The sequence below is a fragment of the Homo sapiens genome, chromosome 18 (assembly GCF_000001405.40).
Source record: "Homo sapiens chromosome 18, GRCh38.p14 Primary Assembly".
NCBI lineage: Eukaryota > Metazoa > Chordata > Mammalia > Primates > Hominidae > Homo > Homo sapiens.
The window spans coordinates 56,687,925-56,706,948 of NC_000018.10; the positions used below are offsets into that span (position 1 = coordinate 56,687,925).

At 36.0% G+C, this 19,024-nt stretch overlaps 1 protein-coding gene across 13 annotated transcripts in view; it reads left to right on the plus strand.

Moving 5' to 3' along the window:
• WDR7 (WD repeat domain 7) overlaps window positions 1-19,024 on the plus strand; it is a 385,248-nt gene that overhangs the window by 36,566 nt on the left and 329,658 nt on the right. For 12 of the 13 annotated variants that reach the window (XR_007066131.1, XR_007066132.1, XR_007066133.1 and 9 more), the window contains exons 8-12: window positions 3,292-3,437; window positions 3,791-3,893; window positions 6,695-6,836; window positions 7,026-7,274; window positions 8,318-8,538. Coding sequence is in view for 9 of the 13 variants with exons in the window: in NM_015285.3 (NP_056100.2) it covers window positions 3,292-3,437; window positions 3,791-3,893; window positions 6,695-6,836; window positions 7,026-7,274; window positions 8,318-8,538 (861 nt within the window). In the remaining 4 variants the exon portion in view is untranslated. Of the gene's footprint in view, window positions 1-3,291; window positions 3,438-3,790; window positions 3,894-6,694; window positions 6,837-7,025; window positions 7,275-8,317; window positions 8,539-11,866; window positions 11,989-19,024 lie in introns of those variants that run through there. The other variant, XM_017025683.1, reaches the window with a different exon arrangement.

Consider the following 19,024-nt stretch of genomic DNA (forward strand, 5'->3'; position numbering starts at 1 on the left):
GCTACATTTTGTTCTTTAAAAACAGTCACAAAATGCAACCTATACTCAGGGGAGAGGATTACACATGGGTATGAATACCAGGGTTTGGGATCACTGGGGCCCTGTTAGAGACTGCTTACCACAGGAGGACTTGTTACTTTCCCCATTTTGCAGATGAGGCAGCTGAGGCAGTAAAGGGATGAATAACTTGACAAAGGTTATATAAATGGCAGCGGAGTTGCTGAGTTACAACATGGGTATCTGACTGCAGCAGCTGCTCTCATTACTACTATGCTGTACTGTGTCATAATTAGAACCTGGAATGGGCTGGTTTCCTGAGCTTAGAACACAAGGGGATGGGCCATATGGTGAAAGGAATGACTAGGGAAGCAGCACCTTAACCTTATCGTTGTCACTTACTATATTAGAATAAAATTAGGAAAAGCTAGCTGCTGCTTGCTTAGAGTAGGTTTTATGGGTTTCTTCCTTTGTGTTAAAATTTAAAACAGATGCAAATAGTAATAAAAAAACAATCTGGGCATGGTGGCTCATGCCTGTAATCCCAGCACTTTGGGAGGCCCGAGGCAGGCAGATCACAAGGTCAGGAGTTCGAGACCAGCCTGGCCAACATGTGAAACCCCGTCTCTACTAAAAATACAAAAAAAAAAAAAAAAAATCAGCAGTGCATGGTGACGCACACCTGTAATCCCAGCTACTTGGGAGACTGAGGCAGAATAATTACTTGAGCCCGGGAGGCAGAGGTTGCAGTGAGCCGAGATTGCGGCACTGCACTCCAGCCTGGCTGACAGAGCAAGACTCTGTCTTGGGGAAAAAAAAAAAGGGGCAAGAGGATACAGTGAAAAATGTGTCTCTTCCCCGCTGGAACTTCCCTTTCCCTTCCAGATAAGAGTATCTAGTACCAGTTTCATTTGTGTCCATTATAAACATTTTGTAATTATGTGAGAACAGCTTTTTCTTTCTTAAAATGCATACATAAGAGTAAAAAGACAACTCACGTAGTCAGAGGAGATAATTACAATATACATAGATGATGAAGAATTGTCCAGTATTTATTAAAAAACCCAACTCCTGCAAATCAGGAAGAAAACTACGGAACACTCAGCAGGAAATTGGACAAAAATATTTCACAAAAGATGAAAGCCAGATGGCCAGTAAATGTATAGAAAGGTGCTCAACTTCACTAATCATCATATTAAGACAATACTGAGATAGTACTACAACCCACCAGAATGGCTTTTTAAGATACTTATTATCATGAAGAAGTTTTCAATTGGGCTTACCATAAGCTGAGATTCAAATCTTTCATTTTCCCCTAATTTTTATATGGTTTTATTTTTAATTTTGTCTGTTTGTTTTGAGACAGAGTCTTGCTGTCGCCCAGGCTGGAGTGCAATGGTGCAATCTCGGCTCACTGTAACCTCTGCCTCTCAGGTTCAAGGGATTCTCCTGCCTCAGCCTCCCAAGTAGCTGGGATCACAGGCATGGACCACCACGCCTGACCAATTTTTGTATTTTTAGTAGAGATGGGTTTCACCTTGTTGCTCAGGCTGGTCTTGAACTCCTGGCATCAAGTGGTCAGCTTGCCTTGGCCTCCCAAAGGGCTGGGATTATAGGCATGAGCCACCGTGCCTGGCCTATATGGTTTTGTCTTACATACCTTTGAATCTTTAATCTGGAATTTATTTTGTATAAATTGTGAGATATAGATCCAATTTTATTTTTATGTCAGATGGACCCCCCCAGTTCCTGATGCCATTTGTTGAATAATTCATTCGTCTGTTGTCCCTTGATAATATACTATATTCCTACATTATTGGAATCTGTTTTCAGACTTCTGGATTTGTCTGCCCATTCATGAATTAATACTATATTGTTCTAACTTTTATAGTTGTATGATTTGCTTTAACAGATAATAGGGCTGGAGGGCTAGTTTCCCTTCCTTACTCTTTCTTGGAGTTTTCTTGGCTATAATTGTAGTGCTGATGTTATACACTGATAAATATTATAAGAAATCATGGTAAATGCAGCTAGGATGTGTTCTAACTTCAAGGCTGTATACAAGCAACTTCATTGTTTTCTTTAAAGAAAAGTAAAATAAAACCTCTGATCTATTGAGGAATGAGGAATTACTCATTCCTCCTGGGAAAATTTTCTAACAACATTTAATGTACTTTTTTCAAATATTAAAAGTGATAGAATAATTCTGCTAGGAATTATAAGAGCAGAGTTTTTAGCTTTGGCTCTATCACTTACTGGACACATGACTTTGAGCAATTGATCAAATCTTTATTTGTGTCCATTTCTTGTCTGTAAACTGGAATAGTAACATCTGCGGTGATTCTCAGGGTCATATGAGATAATAATTGTAAAGGTACTTTGTAAACTTTGCAGTGCCTTGCAAATGTAAAGCCCTATAAGGTTAGTAGCCTTTACTGCTGGTGAAATTATAGGGATTTGAATTTTATATGTGAAAATTATTACATAGTAAAATTGAGCCTGTTAACTATAGTATTTTAGAACATTGATGAAATAATGTAGAGCAAAGTAACTCCCTTATAATAATGAGTTATTCCCATGCCAGAGTTTATTGTTAGAAATGTTGCTACTGGGCCAGGCAAGGTGGCTCATGCCTGTAATCCCAGCACTTTAGGAGGCCAGGGTGGGAGGATCACTTGAGCCCAGGAGTTCGAGACCAGCCTGGGCAACATGGTGAGACCCTGTCTCTACAAGAAATAAGAAATAAAAAAGTTAGCAGGGCATGGTGGCATGCTCTTACAGTCCCAGCTAGGCTGAGGTAGGAGAATCACTTGAGCCCAGGAGTTTGAGGTTGCAGTGAGCTCTGATTGTGCCACTGCACTTCAGCCTGGGTGGCAGAGCAAGACTTTGTCTCAAGAAAAAAAAAAAAATGCTGTTACTAGACATAGAAATAAAACAGGGCTCAAGCCTGTATATTTGAGGTTGATTCCCTATTATTTGCAATTCTTTAATGGAATACTTTCACTAGATAGAAAGTCTGAGGATAACTGTTCCTGTAGTGGGGAGCACCCTCGCTCCACTTGTCATAGCCTATTCCCTGTCCACAGGGAGGTTACCCATAACTAGGGGCCTAGTTGTGTCTTCCCTATTGAAGGTGACCTCTCCCAGGGCTTATTGACAAACTTTCTTTATCTGATGCAGCAAACTGAGTTTTCTAAATACATTTCCAGGCTTTTTTTTTAAACTTGAAATGTCACTGGATCTTACTTTTTACAACAATATGGAGTAGATTGTGAATTTCTTTCTTCCTTGCAGGTGTTCGATGCCGGAGACTATTCCTTGTTGTGTTCAGGTCCTAGTGAAAATGGACAGACATGGACCGGGGGGGACTTTGTCTCATCAGATAAAGTCATCATTTGGACAGAAAATGGGCAAAGTTATATTTACAAACTACCTGCCAGGTATGCAGCAAGTAATAAATTAGGACAGTCATCAAAAGTAAAAGATTCAGAATTTAGGGTACAACCTGACTTTAAGAAAATGTATGTATTATAAATATTTAACTTTGATAAAACACTTCAGAACTTCTTAAGTTAGATTTTTAATTCCAATTTAACTTCTAAGTGCAAAAATTAGGTGGATTTTTATTTGAAGGACAATATTTTTATAACATTATTTAATTTAATGCCTGCATTAAATTAACTATAATTTAAAAATCCCCTTTTTGTCCAATACCAACAAACCTTGTCATATGGAATTATAAAGTATTTAATGTCAGTATTTTAATTGAATATTGTATTTTTCCCATATTCAGTTGCCTTCCAGCTAGTGATTCATTCCGCAGTGATGTGGGGAAGGCAGTTGAAAATTTAATTCCTCCTGTACAACATATCCTCTTGGATCGAAAAGATAAAGAGGTAAAATTCTTGAGGTGTCATTTATAATTGAAAGTTACATTGAAAAACTTCTACAACTGTATTTATTGTCTTGTGATAGGTTTAAAAAATTTGATACAATTCAAAGCACTGTGTTAAATGTAAAACATTTTGAGATGGTCAGTTATAAGGACATTTCAAAATCTGCTTGTTTAAAAACATATAATATGCCTATGAAATAACATTCGTTTTTCTAAGAGTACAAGTGATCTTATGCTAATTGCGTATTGAAATTGACTTTTTGATGAAGTTCATATTGATGGTGTAAATTATTTTACATACTATCATGCAATTATAAACATAGTGACAGATATATTTTTAGAAGAGCACACATAGTTATGTAATAATGCTGAGTAATAATAGTTCCTTTGTTGAACAAGGCATTGCAATACCTCCACAAAATCATGTAGCATTTTAAATCATTAGAAACTAGAAATAAAGAATAAAACATTTTTTCTCTATAAAAATAAAAGTTTATTGTGATTTCTGAAAACGTGCTTAATATCCACTTAATGTTGAAGTACAACAGCACTTAGTACTGGGTTTTCAACTCTATATTGAGCAGTAAGAAAGAAGCTTTGGCTTTGAAAGCAGAGTTTTTTTTGTTTTTTTTTTTTTTAATTGATGTTCTAGGTTTCCATGGCTTTATCATTCTGAACATTACGTCTCACGTTTATGTGGCCGGGTGGCTAGGGGAAGGGAATTGTTCTTTCCATGAATATTTTGAATATATAGAATTTGTATATCTATGTACAATTAAGATCATCTTTAGCCTGTCTGTTCTTTATTCAAACTTCCACTTACTGCTCTTCAACCTAGATAGTCATGTCCAATTAACCTAAGGAATAATGACTTGTATAAAAAATATACATAAGCAAAACCAAAAAAAAAATCATTTTCTTTAAATATCAGCTCCCTAATACGTTTTAAATTAAAAATGTGTATTTTGTGGTGTGTTGAAATGTAGAATATTGGTTATTACAGCTGCTGTAGCAATTTTTCCTTGTTAAATATATAGTTTATCAATTAAAAATTTTAGTCTGGGCGACATAGTGAGACCCCATCTCTACAAAAAAAAAAATTAGCATGGTGTGGTGGTACACGCCTGTAGTCCCAGCTACTTGGGAGGCTGAAGTGGGAAGATCCTTTGAGCTGGGAGGTGGAGGCTGCAGTGAGCTGTGATCGTGCCACTGCACTCCAGCCTGGGCAACATGGCGAGACCCTGTCTCAAAAGCAAAAAAAATTCAGTAAGTAAAGTCAAACGATTGGTTATGCTTAATATGTGTAGTTTCCATTGGCTAATGCTTTTAGCTGTTAATTACTGTATTTGATTAACCAGTATTTGAATACAGTAATTAGACTATTAACTATAATTGTCAAAACTGAAGTCAAATTTAATATTGCTTTTCAGGCTAAGATTCTGTTCTTTAATATTCCAGTATTTGTGAAGTAATCCTCCGAATTTTAGTAGAAGTCCACCACACTATTTAGTATTTTCAGATAGTACTTCATTGAAGGCACAAAATCTTGAGCTGAAAATGAAAGTACACATAAGATCCTAATGAATGGTTTTTGTTCCTGGTAGCTGGTAGCTAACAGAGGCTAGGTTCAAATTGATTATGAAAATATGAGCAAGTAAAACATGATATGCTATTAGTTGAAAAATATACTAATTTTAACAATGGGGTCCTCTAGTTGCACAAGCTTGATAGTTCAATTTTGTTGGTTTTTTTTTTTGTTTTTTTTTTTTTTTTGAGATGGAGTCGCCCTTTGACTCCCAGGCTGGAGTGCAGTGGTGTGATCTCGGCTCACTGCAACCTTTGCTTCCTGGGTTCAAGCGATTCTCCTGCCTCAGCCTCCCGAGTAGCTGGGATTACAGGCACGCACCACCACACCTGGCTAATTTTTGTATTTTTATTAGAGACAGGGTTTCACCATGTTGGCCAGGCTGGTCTTGAACTTTTGGCCTCAAGTGATCTGCCCGCTGCAGCCTCCCAAAGTGCTGGCATTACAGGCATGAGCCACTGTGGCCAGCCTACTTTTTGTTTTTTTGAGGCAAGGTCTTGCTGTGTCATCCAGGCTGGAGTGCAGTAGCGAAATGATAGTTCACTGTAGCTTCAAACTCCTGGACTCAAGTGATGCTCCCACCACAGCCTCCTGAATACCTGGAGCTATGAGCCTGTGCCACCATGCTGGGCTAAGTTTTTTTTTTTTTCCTGTAGAGACAGGATTTCGCTTAGTTGTCCAGGGCCGGTCTCTGACTCCTGGCCTCAAGCGATCTTCCGTGTCATTGTTGGGATTACAAGCATGAGCCACTGTTCCCTAATTTTGTTGCTATTCTTAATGATTAATCAGGAGTGGGCAAAAAAAGCAGGAATAGTGAGTTCTCTCATCTTGACCTTTTAAGTGAAGACTTTTCTTTTTGATAAAGCTTAGCTATGTGTTAATTATTTAATAATAGGCAGTTAAATTGCATTATTGTGGCTACACATGAGTTATTATAAAGTGGTGAAAAGTAGCATAAATGCTAACTTTAGAGAAAGGCTGTAAATACAGTTTTTGTTTCATTCAATGTGTGTGTTATACTAGATTAGAATATTAGTTGACATGTATGTTAGTGCTATAGAATTACATTAAAATATTGTTGAATAATCATGCTATAAACACTTTTTCAACTTGGCTACTGGGACAAATTACCTAATATCTTTGTTTGAAAAGCATTAATGTGTGAAATATTTTGATTAAAAATACAGCTAAAGATATTCAAATACTTTTTTTGGCAGTTGCTAATTTGTCCTCCTGTTACTCGGTTCTTCTATGGATGCAGAGAATATTTCCATAAACTGTTAATTCAGGGTGATTCTTCTGGAAGGTTGAATATTTGGAACATATCAGACACAGCTGATAAACAGGGAAGTGAAGAAGGTAATAGTAAATCATGTGTAACAATTTCTTAATTAATTTAATATCTTAAATACCAACTACTGAATAACATTCATAATGTACATATATCATTTTCTTTGATTACTGGATCAATCAACATTATTTTAATGTTTTAAATTTTTTTTAACATGCACAAATGTTTTTCTTTTATACAAAACCAAACCTCTACAGGGCTGGCAATGACAACTTCTATTAGTTTGCAAGAGGCATTTGATAAACTGAATCCTTGTCCTGCTGGAATTATAGATCAGCTGAGTGTGATTCCCAATAGTAATGAACCTCTTAAAGTAACTGCAAGTGTGTACATACCAGCACATGGACGACTTGTTTGTGGTCGTGAAGATGGAAGCATAGTTATTGTACCTGCCACACAGACGGCCATAGTACAGCTGTTGCAAGGGGAACACATGCTCAGAAGAGGTATACTGAAGAGCTCCGTATGTCTAAAGTGTTTTGACAACTCTTACCCAGAGAGTGAAAATGTCTCTGTTTTTTGTTTTTAAATAAATACAGTGAATCAGTGTAGTTAGTTGTTGGGGTGCTATGTAGTTGGTAGAGTTTAATGCACAGATAAAATATTCAGTGCCTGTTATTAGAATTAATACAATGTAATGACTGTAAATAAAGAAGTATCCAATTTTATCTCTTTGAGATATGTTAATAGTTTCATCTCTTAGTTATCTCTATGGATTACTAAATAATTACTGTATTACCAGTAATTCTGAAAATCCTCCAGAACAGTACCATCCAATAGAAATCTTTTTTTTTTTTTTTTCCGAGAAAGAGTCTCACTGTGTTGCTCAGACTAGAGTGCAGTGGCATGATCTCGGCTCACTACAATCTCTGCCTCCTGAGTTCAAGCAGTTCTCCTGCACAGCCCCCCAAGTAGCTGGGATTATAGGCATGTGCCACCACACCCAGCTAATTTTTGTATTTTTTGTAGGGACAGTTTCACCATGTTGGCCAGGCTGGTCTCGAACTCCTGACCTCAAGTGATCTGCCTGCCTCGGCCTCTCAACAGCCAGTGGAAATCGAATGTCAACCATATATATATAACCATACCTGTAATTTCCTAATAGCTGTGTTAAAAAATAAAATGAAACAGTTGAAATTGACTATATTTTATATAACCCAATATAGCAAAAACTATTTTCATTTCAACTTCTAATCAATATGAAGATTGTTGATGAAATATTTTAGGTTTTTTGTATCAACTCTTCAAAATCTCATGACTAGTTTAAATTCACAGCACATAGGAATCTGGATTACCCCCATTTCAAGTGCTCAGTAGTCTCATGTGGCTAGTAGATACTGAATTAGGCAGAGTTGTGTTAGAAGATAAAATTGGAAGCCTTTGCTGTGATATAATTTGTAGCTATTCTAAACATTCATGTTTACTTTTACTTACTGAAACTTGGTAAACCTTTAATTTTCCCATTTTAAATCCAAACCCTCATTCACAGGTTGGCCACCTCACAGAACACTCCGTGGTCATCGGAACAAAGTCACATGTTTGCTATATCCTCATCAGGTCTCAGCTCGGTATGATCAAAGATACCTGATATCTGGAGGTGTGGATTTTTCAGTCATAATTTGGGACATATTTTCTGGAGAAATGAAACATATCTTCTGTGTTCATGGTGGTGAGATTACTCAACTTCTAGTTCCACCTGAAAACTGTAGTGTAAGTTGATTTATATAAAAGATTATTTCACTATGGTAGAGCCAAGTTATATTACTATCAGGAATGTAAATGGAATCTAGACTAACTTAAAGGAAGTGTGACAAGATAATTAAGAAAACCCTTTCAATTTTAAAACTAAAATAATAGTAACATTTAGGCAAAGTTACGGCCACTAACTATTGGGGCACATAGAAACAGAAGAGAGACATAGTGTTTTTTTACTAGCTTCAAAATGGTCTGGCTTCTTTCTGAAACATAGCAGCAGTTGAGAAAATGTTTATTGAATGATGTTTCAATTTTACATTTTAAAATAATTTAAGTATGCCTGAAGACATTGTACAATCTCATTATTTTTGGGTCCATCTGAGCAAAGACAATGAATATATATGTTGGTAAAGGCAAAATACTTATCGATAGAGTTCACTTAAATAAAAAATTGTTGTTAACAAGGGAGACAAAGCCTAACAGTCACTGATGATGATTTTGGAAAATTTCATACATACCTTTGTGGAACCAGATTGCTTTCTGATGCATTTTAAGTTAGGCTGTGATGTCTTATAAATAGAAATATGAGATTTTAGGAGGGCTTAGGACTGATAACAGTACTTTTTTTTATTGTTTATTAATCATGGGACTTATTCATGTGATTAGTCATCTTTGTGTGCATAATCACTGTCTCCCAACACTCACTCATTTGTTTGCACATATAGAGACATCGTCTTCTTGTAGACAAGTCATGCTTATCATAATTCATTCACCGTCACCAGCTCTGGTATTACTGAAATTGAAAACAGTCTTACTGGTGTATCTGCTGCAGTATCTACAAGATATCTCATTTCAAAATCTACAAAATTTTTCTTGGCCCTTCTGCTTACTTGCTTAATCTTCCTGATAATTTATTTTATCAACCATGTTCTGCCAGTGCTAGATTTTGTTTGATTTGATATTGGTGGCTTTGTAAGAAATCCTAGTACCAATGTTTCTCATTATTTTTCCTGGCAGATTTGCAAATTTACCTCCTTAATTGTTCTCTTCCTTCTTTTTTATTCCTTTCTTCCAATTAGGTTGTTAATTTCTTATTCACTGTGAAAAACTGCTATGTATTTAACCAATTTTATGTCATATTTTGGTGAAATAGATATTATTGTAATTACATTAATAAATTAAGGTATTGTTACAACCCCTCTCCTAAACTTCATTTTATAGTAGTTATGTCCTATGGTGAAACATGACAATTTTCTTTTCTGAATGCACATTTGGTGAAATATCTAATTTTTCAATGCAAAAATTGATTATTTAGATAATTCTATACTAGTTTAGAACAACCATTTCTGTTTTGATTGATTTTGTGTGTGTGTGAGAGAATAAAATATTTAAAATAATAGAATATTAGATAGAATAAGATATAGTTTTTCTTTAAATTACAAATGTGATTAAAAGTTTGGAATGGGCCAGGTGCGATGGCTCAAGCCTGTAATCCCAGCACTTTGGGAGGCTGAGGCAGGCGTATCACCTGAAGTTGGGAGTTCGAGAACAGCCTGATCAACATGGAGAAACCCCTTCTCTACTAAAATTACAAAAAATTTGCCAGGTGTGATGGTGCATGCCTGTAATCCCAGCTCCTTAGGAGGCTGAGGCAGGAGAATTGCTTGAACCTGGGAGGCAGGGGTTGCAGTGAGCTGAGATCGTACCCTTGCACTCCAACCTGGGCAACAGGAGCGAAACGCTGTTTAAAAAAAAAAAAGTTTGGAATGGCTTACACAAGGTCATGCTCTCTATTTGAATATGTTAATTATACATTTTTTTAGCTTATATATTCCCTTGTGTTTTTTAAACAAATTTCTTTTAAAAAATTTCAAGTGGGCAGGGCATGGTGGCTCATGCCTGTAATCCCAGCACTTTGGGAGGCTGAGAGGGGCGGATCACGAGGTCAGGAGATCAAGACCATCCTGGCTGACACGGTGAAACCCCGTCTCTACTAAAACTACAAAAAATTAGCTGGGCATGGTGGCAGGCGCCTGTAGTCCCAGCTACTTGGGAGGCTGAGGCAGGAGAATGGCGTGAACCCAGGAGGTGGAGCTTGCAGTGAGCTGAGATTGCACCACTGCACTCCAGCCTGGGTGACAGAGCAAGACTCTGTCTCAAAAAAAAAAAAAAAAATTCAGATTGGTATTTAAAATAATAAAATGTTTTTGACTATTTGTATTTAAAAATAAAATGTAGTGAATAAAATACTAATAGACATATATGCAACTAAACGGAGAATGGGCTCGCTACTAAACTTGGACAAGCCAAAAGCGGTAGTTGGCCTGGAGAATATGAGGAAAAATGATCTAGACAGGGAAGTCTAGTACTTGAAAAATAATGTATTTGCAATTTGTAATTTAGTTATTACATGCTTAACAATAGAAATTTTCTTGGGTGGGAGGACGGAGAGGATTGGGAAAAACAACTAATGGGTACTGGGCTTAATACTTGGGTGATGCAATAATCTGTACAACAAACCCCCATGACACAAATTTACCTGTATAACAAACCTGTGCATGTACCCCTGAACTTAAAATGAAAGTTAAATTTTAAAAAATTGAAATTATAAAAAGGAAAAAAAAGAAATTTTAAAATTCTTATTCAAAAGTCCTGATAAAGACAAAGATACTTGATTTTAGCTGTGGGGTAATTTAGCAAATAAATAATGACTGCCTAGTTAATAACCTGTTCAGTTAGCTGGTTAGGTGGTTTTATGCACATCAGCAAGTATGTTTAAAGATCAAAGAGCCTAATTGCTTAATAAAAAGCAGAGTTTGATGTTTGCTAAATGTTTAGAAAATGTGTGGCTGAGATTAGAGTTTGCTACATCATATACTGATTCTAATGCTTGAATAGTCCCTCTCATAAATTGACCCAGTGTCCTGTTCTTTTTAGCAGAATATATTTTTATTTTTGTTTAAACGTTTTGATTGGGCAATAGTAGTTGAGATAGTTGATCAGCTAATTGTAGTTGAAAGATTATAAATATTTACCAAAAGTAATGATTAGAGATAAATGCTGAAGAGTTTGTCATCTGTTTTGTTTATTAGAATAGTTTTGGGTTTTAGGTGAATTCAGGTGGAAGTTGAGTTTGGACTTCTTGTAATTATTTGTTCAGGAAAGATATTCTAAAACAGAGAAATGTCAGTTGTGTGTAAAAATTACTTTAACTGTGAATAAGAATGTACAAAGCTGATGATTTCTCCTCTCTTTATAGTCACACTTCACGTTTCCTAAAACGTACAAAGTTGTTAAGAAAAAGTACTCAGCTAAATAATTCATTATTTGTCTCCTAACTTAGGTAGATAGTAAACAAAAAGTGAAAAACTGTCTGCTAGGTAGAACAGATGCTGCAGCTGGAAGTTGGAGATGAGCTCTGAAGACAGACTCCAGACCCCCTTTTCAAACTCCACATACATGTCAGTAGGTATTTATCATCCTTTCTTTCCCCACTCCTTCATTTTTGAGCTGTTTTTAATATCTTTTTATCTAAAAGTCTTTCCAAATTCCTACTAGAGATTAGCATTAATTTAGTGGCAGACTTAAGTGGTTTTGTATGCTTTATTTTTAATGAACTATTTTTCTATTCTTTTGTTAGTGGGACTTTTAATTACTTAAAAAATTTTGCATATTCAAAGATGACAAATATTGCCTAAATATAGTATTATGTAGAGTACTTAAATTGAATATATTTTTCCTTTTATTTTGTGTTAAAGGATTTTGGTTTTTCATTTTTTAAAGATACTGTTTATTTTTCATTTTCTTTTTTTTTTTTTTTTTTTTTTTGAGATGGAGTCTTACGCTGTTGCCAGGCTGGAGTGCAGTGGCATGATCTCGGCTCACTGCAACCTCCACCTCCCGGGTTCAAGTGATTCTCCTGCCTCAGTCACCCATGTAGCTGGGAATAAAGGCATGTGCCACCTTGCCCAGCTAATTTTTGTATTTTTAGTAGAGACAGGGTTTCACCATGTTGGCCAGGATGGTCTCGATCTCTCGACCTCGTGATCCACCCACCTCGGCCTCTCAAAGTGCTGGGATTACAGGTGTGAGCCACTGCGCCTGGCCAATATTGTTTCTTTTTTTTTTTTTTTTTTTTTTGAGACGGAGTCTCGCTCTGTCGCCCAGGCTGGAGTGCAGTGGCGCGATCTCGGCTCACTGCAAGCTCCGCCTCCCGGGTTCACGCCATTCTCCTGCCTCAGCCTCCCGAGTAGCTGGGACTACAGGCGCCCGCTACCACGCCCGGCTAATTTTTTGTATTTTTAGTAGAGACGGGGTTTCACCGTGTTAGCCAGGATGGTCTCGATCTCCTGACCTCGTGATCCGCCCGCCTCGGCCTCCCAAAGTGCTGGGATTACAGGCCCAATATTGTTTCTTAAAAAAGCAAAAGTTCATTTAGGAAAAGATCTTTGAAATTCAGTATTGATTCGTTGAATAGTCTGGTTAACTGATATTTAGCTTTTACCTGATACGGATTATTTTAAAGAATTAAAATGTAAGAAAATTAAAAAATCTGAAGGTACCCTTTAAGATATAAAATTTTGAAATAATTCAGGATTGTGTAGTTCTGAAGGGTTATTGAGAACAGTTGAGGAAGTAATGTGTTTAAATGTTCCAAGAAATATAAGCTTACATTTTAGAAGGAGGATAAGGTAAGTATTTAAGCCTGGTACAGGCAGACTATAAATCACAAATGTTTTGGTGATGATGGCAAGGGCGTATTATAGGTACCCAGAGAAACAAGGAGCTTTGGTAAACTACTTGAAAAGACCTGAGAGGTTTGACTAACTACATATTGACTTCTTGAGAGGTGTTGGAATCTGTGGTTTTGAGGTTTCTAATATTAGGTTATTTGCCATTTCTGTTTTTTTAAGAGTATATAAAGGTTCAGTTTCTTGATAAAACAAACTACTATATATCATTTGCTTGAAATAAAGCTGTTCACAGTATAAAAATTATATGACAGATATAAAGTCCTATACCATTTTTATCATTCCAAGTTATGTTTATTATTTTTAAATGAGTGGTTTTCTCATGATTTATTGCTATTCAGATGTGACAGTTCTTATGAATTTTAATAGGATTCAAATTTAAACTCGAGCTTTTTATGTTGTTATTAAATTATATTGCCACTTCAAATATTAGATATAGGAGATGTATTAGAAACTTTTTTTTAAAAACAGCTAAAATTTAAACTGGGCTATTAACTTTTCATCTGTACTTGGACTGTTTACTATGGTACCTTAAAATATTTCATAAATAGGTAGTGATGCACATAGTATAAAATGCAAAAGGTATAAATATTACTAAGGAAGTGCAAGTCTCCCTTTCTCTCCTGTTCTCCAGCTTTTTGGTTCCCTTAACCTTGAGTGCAATGTCTTATTAATCCTTCAGATATTTTCAATTTTACAGTGTTTTAATGCTTCAGAACTATAGAATATTAGCTTAATTTTATTCTGACAACTACAAAATTTACACAACACAGCGTGGTTAGAGAGAGAATGATTTTCAGATTGGAGTAGTTGTGAGAGGTAGACTTGGGTGAATTAGCAAAATCTGAACTCTGGGATAGGGGAGGCCAAGAGTGTACCAGTTGCCTGGGGAATCTGAAGAGAGCTGGTGAAAGGGAAGGCAGATATTTTTAATGCCTTTGGAGTGCTGCGGCAGGAAACTTCCTCCAACGCTCCATCATTAGAATTATGTAGTTACAGATGAGATGATCTGACATCGTCCCTTCCACCTCCCTCCCAGTTTATTTTACCTTTCCCTGTTGCTTATCGTTCTCCTTTTATTATAGATTTTAGCTTTAAAGAGTCTATTGTCCAAGATCCAGGCACTTTTTCTTGTATTTCCACATAGGTTACTCTTAGAGAAAGAAACTAGGTTTTGGAAAAAATACTGAGGGAATAAAATTATTTTAATATATCAAGAGTACGTTATAAAACATTTTCCTTAACAAACCAGATAGATATGATTGACAGCAGTGAAAATTCATGAATTAAAAAATAACACTAATCACCCAGTATAATATTGCCAACTTATTGAATTGTGGTGATATTTTACATGAAACTATCCATATTTTCTTAGTTGATTTTCAATTGTGGTAGGTAGCTGGATTTAGAAGTACAGTTTGTGGTATGAAACCTTTGTGTGTGTAATACAGTGTGATACCATTTATTTACATTTTAAAAACACAAATCCATACTGCATATTTTTGGATACATGTATAGGTAGTAAAAATATTAAAACCGAAGGGAAAGCTAGTGCCAAATTCAGACCCTGGTTTACTTTTGAGAGTGAGAGGAAGGAGTAGGGAAACTTATTAAAGTGTCATGTTTTATTTACTTTTAGTATTATAGCTATTTAATATTTACTATTTATTTTCCTCATTTACATTGACGATTAAATTCTCAGAGCTGTCTTTCTGTTGTTAGAATTATTCAGAACAGAAGTTTTCGAAAATGCCGAAAAATAAACTGTTTAGTACCAGTGATATGTTTCTACATGTAAGCATATAGGCTAAGTTCTTTAATATATTAGTTAAAGAATGAATACTTTTTGTTTAATTTATCATATTAAACTTTTGGTCACGTAATCTCCAAAAATACCCAGAAGGGGGCAGCATGGATTTGTGAAAACAGGAATGTGCGTCATCTAACCTGAACACTAGTGTTTGTGCCTTCAATTGACAGTATTAAAACCAGTATTAGATTCCCGGCTCCTAGAAACAGGTATGCTAATATGAATGGAACACGTGACTGTGTGTATACCAGTGTGGCTAATGTTCACAGCCAGTAAGGGCAATTGACAAATTAGATATTCTTTTTAATATATCATACTATTATTCTGACAAAGTACTGAAAGCTTTTGCCTGAATTTGCTCTTATCTCCCATTTTTGATTCTAGATTTTTGTTATTAATTTAATTTGAATATTGCATTTAAAAAGCAATGTCTATACCTATAGCTTAATATCTGAAGTCAAGCAGAGCAAACTTTGTGAATACAAACTAAGCAAAAACAGGAAGCAGAACTAACATTATTTTCTTAAAATACAATGTACATAATGTTCTGTGTCATCCTTTTTCCTTTAACACTTAATTCTCTTTGATTTTGAGAACATTTTCATATATTTTTATGTATTTGGCACCATCTTTTTGATATTAATTTTATTTTTAAAAATTAAATAATACATAGTTATAGAAAATAGAGATATTTTCTAAAGACATCATATTTGTCACTAAGAATATTCCTACAACATCATTTTAAATGATACTCTGTAATTCATTTTTATTGGACATTTTAGAATGTTGCTTTAAAGTTTTTTTTTTTGCCTGTTATCAACGGTGGGAATGATAATTAGTACAGCTAAATATTTTTGTAGCTCTAGAATGGTTTCTTAGGATAAGTTCTTATACTTGGAGTTGCTATAAAAAAGGGCATATTAATTTTTAAAGGCTTTTGAACAGGTATTGTCAAATTGCTCTTCAAACAATGAGGAATAGGTTTGTACAGTCACCATTTTACTACCGTAATCCTTCATCATCCTGTTTATAATCTTTTAAGCCTTGCTAATTTTCTAGTCTTGAAAGCAGCTGTATGTAGAGCATATGTAACTATAGCTCTCACGTTCATTTTAAAGCACAAATGTATTAATATTACCAATACTATATTAGTTGTACATTCTGGTTGGTTTTATATTCTTGATAATTTTATGTTTTCCAAATTTGTACTACTATTCTATACTATTGTTTAAAGATAAAAAGTTGAGGCTGAGCATGGTGGCTTACACCTGTAATTTCAACAATTTGAGAGGTCAAGCTGGGAGGATCACTTGATGCCAGGAGTTCAAGACCAGCCTGGGCAACATAGTGAAACCCTGTCTCTATCAAAAAAGAAAAAAAAAAAGCTGGGTTTGGTGACATGGGCATATAGTTCTAGCTACTTGGGAGGCTGAGGTGAGAGGATTGCTTGAGCCCTGGAGTTCAAGGCTGCAGTGAGGCATGATTGCGCCATTACACTCCAGCCTAGGTGACAGAGTGAGACCCTGTCATGCTATGAATATTATGTATACATTCAAATATTAGGTTGTGCAAGTAATTTTTGTTATTTTAATGGCAAAACTGCAATTTAATGTCTTACACCTGTCTCTTGTGTAGGAGGCCAGAAAACTCAGTGCTAAGGGACTGGCAGTGAGAGGCCCCTTTAACAGTAATGAGAAAGACTGCATCCTTAGCTGACTGTGCTGATATCATGCCAAACATTTTAAAAAATTAGAAATTCTTACATTTTGGAAAGATTCCTTAAAATCTTAAATCATATTGCTGATTAGGCATGAAATTTACTTTTAATAATGGTCAGAAGTGATTTCATGCTAAACCTAGTGAATGAAGTAGCTGATTAAATTGACTTTTTATTTTGGACTGGAGAGAAAGTATTACACAACAACTAATTTTTCTTGAGTAACACAATCATAGGACAATTTCAAAATGAGTTTACATTTCATTTTTTTAATTTAATTTTTGTTTTTTAGAGATGAAGTCTTGCTATGTTGCCCAGGCTGGCATTGAACTCCTGGCCTCAAGTGATCCTCCTATCTTGGCGTCTTAAAGTGCTAGGATTACAGGTGTGAGCCACCATGCACTGCTCTCTATATTTTTAAATGGCAAAAATTGCTAGGAAGAAATGAATTACCTTTTAAGTGTAGTATTCAGTTTGGTGCAACATATTTTTGATTAGACATTCATTGGGCAAATATCTGACTATCTGCCATATTTCAGGCACTTTCTAGAACCAGAGATAGGGATAAGATATCTTTTTTTTTTTTGTAATATTTAGTCTAATGAGGGAGCCAGACCAGCAAACAGCAGTTATAAAGGAGTATGATAAATCTTATGGAAAGGGGTTTTTCAAAGCCCTCAGGGAGTACATAGGGCACTTAGGAAGTCTACTTTGGGTGATTTTGGAAGACTTTAAGGAAGGTCAATATATATGATATTTGAATATATTAGTTTTGTGGATATTTATAAAATCATAAATGATACATTAACAACCTCTGTTTGCAGATGCTCTTAGCATTATGCATGTTATGTGGAGGTGTCTGGAACAATTGATGTTTTCCTGACTAGTACCTGATGGATCTGTCTACAATAGATAGTACTTGATAATACTTGGATTTAGGCGGATCCTGGCAGGAATTGGACATACATACATTACTTTGAAAATAATGACTGGCCTGGCACGATGGCTCACGCCTGTAATCCCAGCATTTTGGCAGGCTGAGGCTGGCAGATCACAAGGTCAAGAGATCGAGACCATCCTGGCCAACATGGTGAAACCCCATCTCTATTAAATACAAAAAAAATTAGCTGGGTGTGGTGGCGCGTGCCTATAGTCCCAGCTACTCGGGAGGCTGAGGCAGGAAAGTCCCTTGAACCTGGGAGGTGGAGGTTGCAGTGAGCTGAGATTGCGCCACTGTACTCCAGCCTGGGCGACAGAGGGAGATGCCGTCTCAAAAACCACAACAAAAAGAAAATAATGACCAACAGATCAGAGTGATGGTTTTGTATGTGCTGCAGTCTAGCTGCAATAGGATACTTTATTTCAGCCTACTTAGGTAGGGAAGAAAAAAGTAAAGATAATAAAATATGGGACTGTACTGAGAGGGAAAATGTTCATGTTATTTGTCTAAAGAAAGATTTGACAAGCTGGTAAAATGAAATGAAAATGGATGATAACATCTTAGAAAAAAAGAACAAACAACAAAGTTGACTTTTGTATGATGATTCTCTTTTTGGAGTCATTATCAATGATTTTTCTTAGTCATTGGTGAAGACTTTCTAAAGGAGTTGGAGAGCACACTCTGCTGTAGGCATATGGAGCTTGAAATAATGGAACCGTCAATTGGTCAGTGAGAACAGCCTTTAGAACCAAACAGACCTGGATTTGTGTCACCCATCTTGGAGTGGCATTAGCAGGTTACTTAACATCTCTAGGCCCTAGCCACAATTTCTGTGAAGTGTTGGTTTAAGGTTTAGAAGTAACGCTTGGCCTGTAATGAGAGCTCATTGAATCATCATTATTGTTGCTATTATTTCTATTTTCAGTTATCTACATTGTCATTTGGATGATAAATGCCTAAATCTGGGCAGTTTGTACGTTCATTTTCAGTACTCAAATGACTTTTTAGAAAAATTTTATTTTTATTTTTATTTTTTTTTTGAGATGGAGTCTCGCTCTGTCACCCAGGCTGGAGTGCAGTGGTGCCATCTTGGCTCACTGCAACCTCTGCCTCCCAGGTTCAAGTGATTCTCCTGACTCAGCCTCCCGAGTAGCTGGGACTACTGGTGAATTCCACCACACCCAGCTAATTTTTGTATTTTTAGTAGAGACGGGGTTTCACCATGTTGGCCAGGATGGCATCAATCTCTTGACCTTGGCCTGTCTCAGTCTCCCAGATTGCTG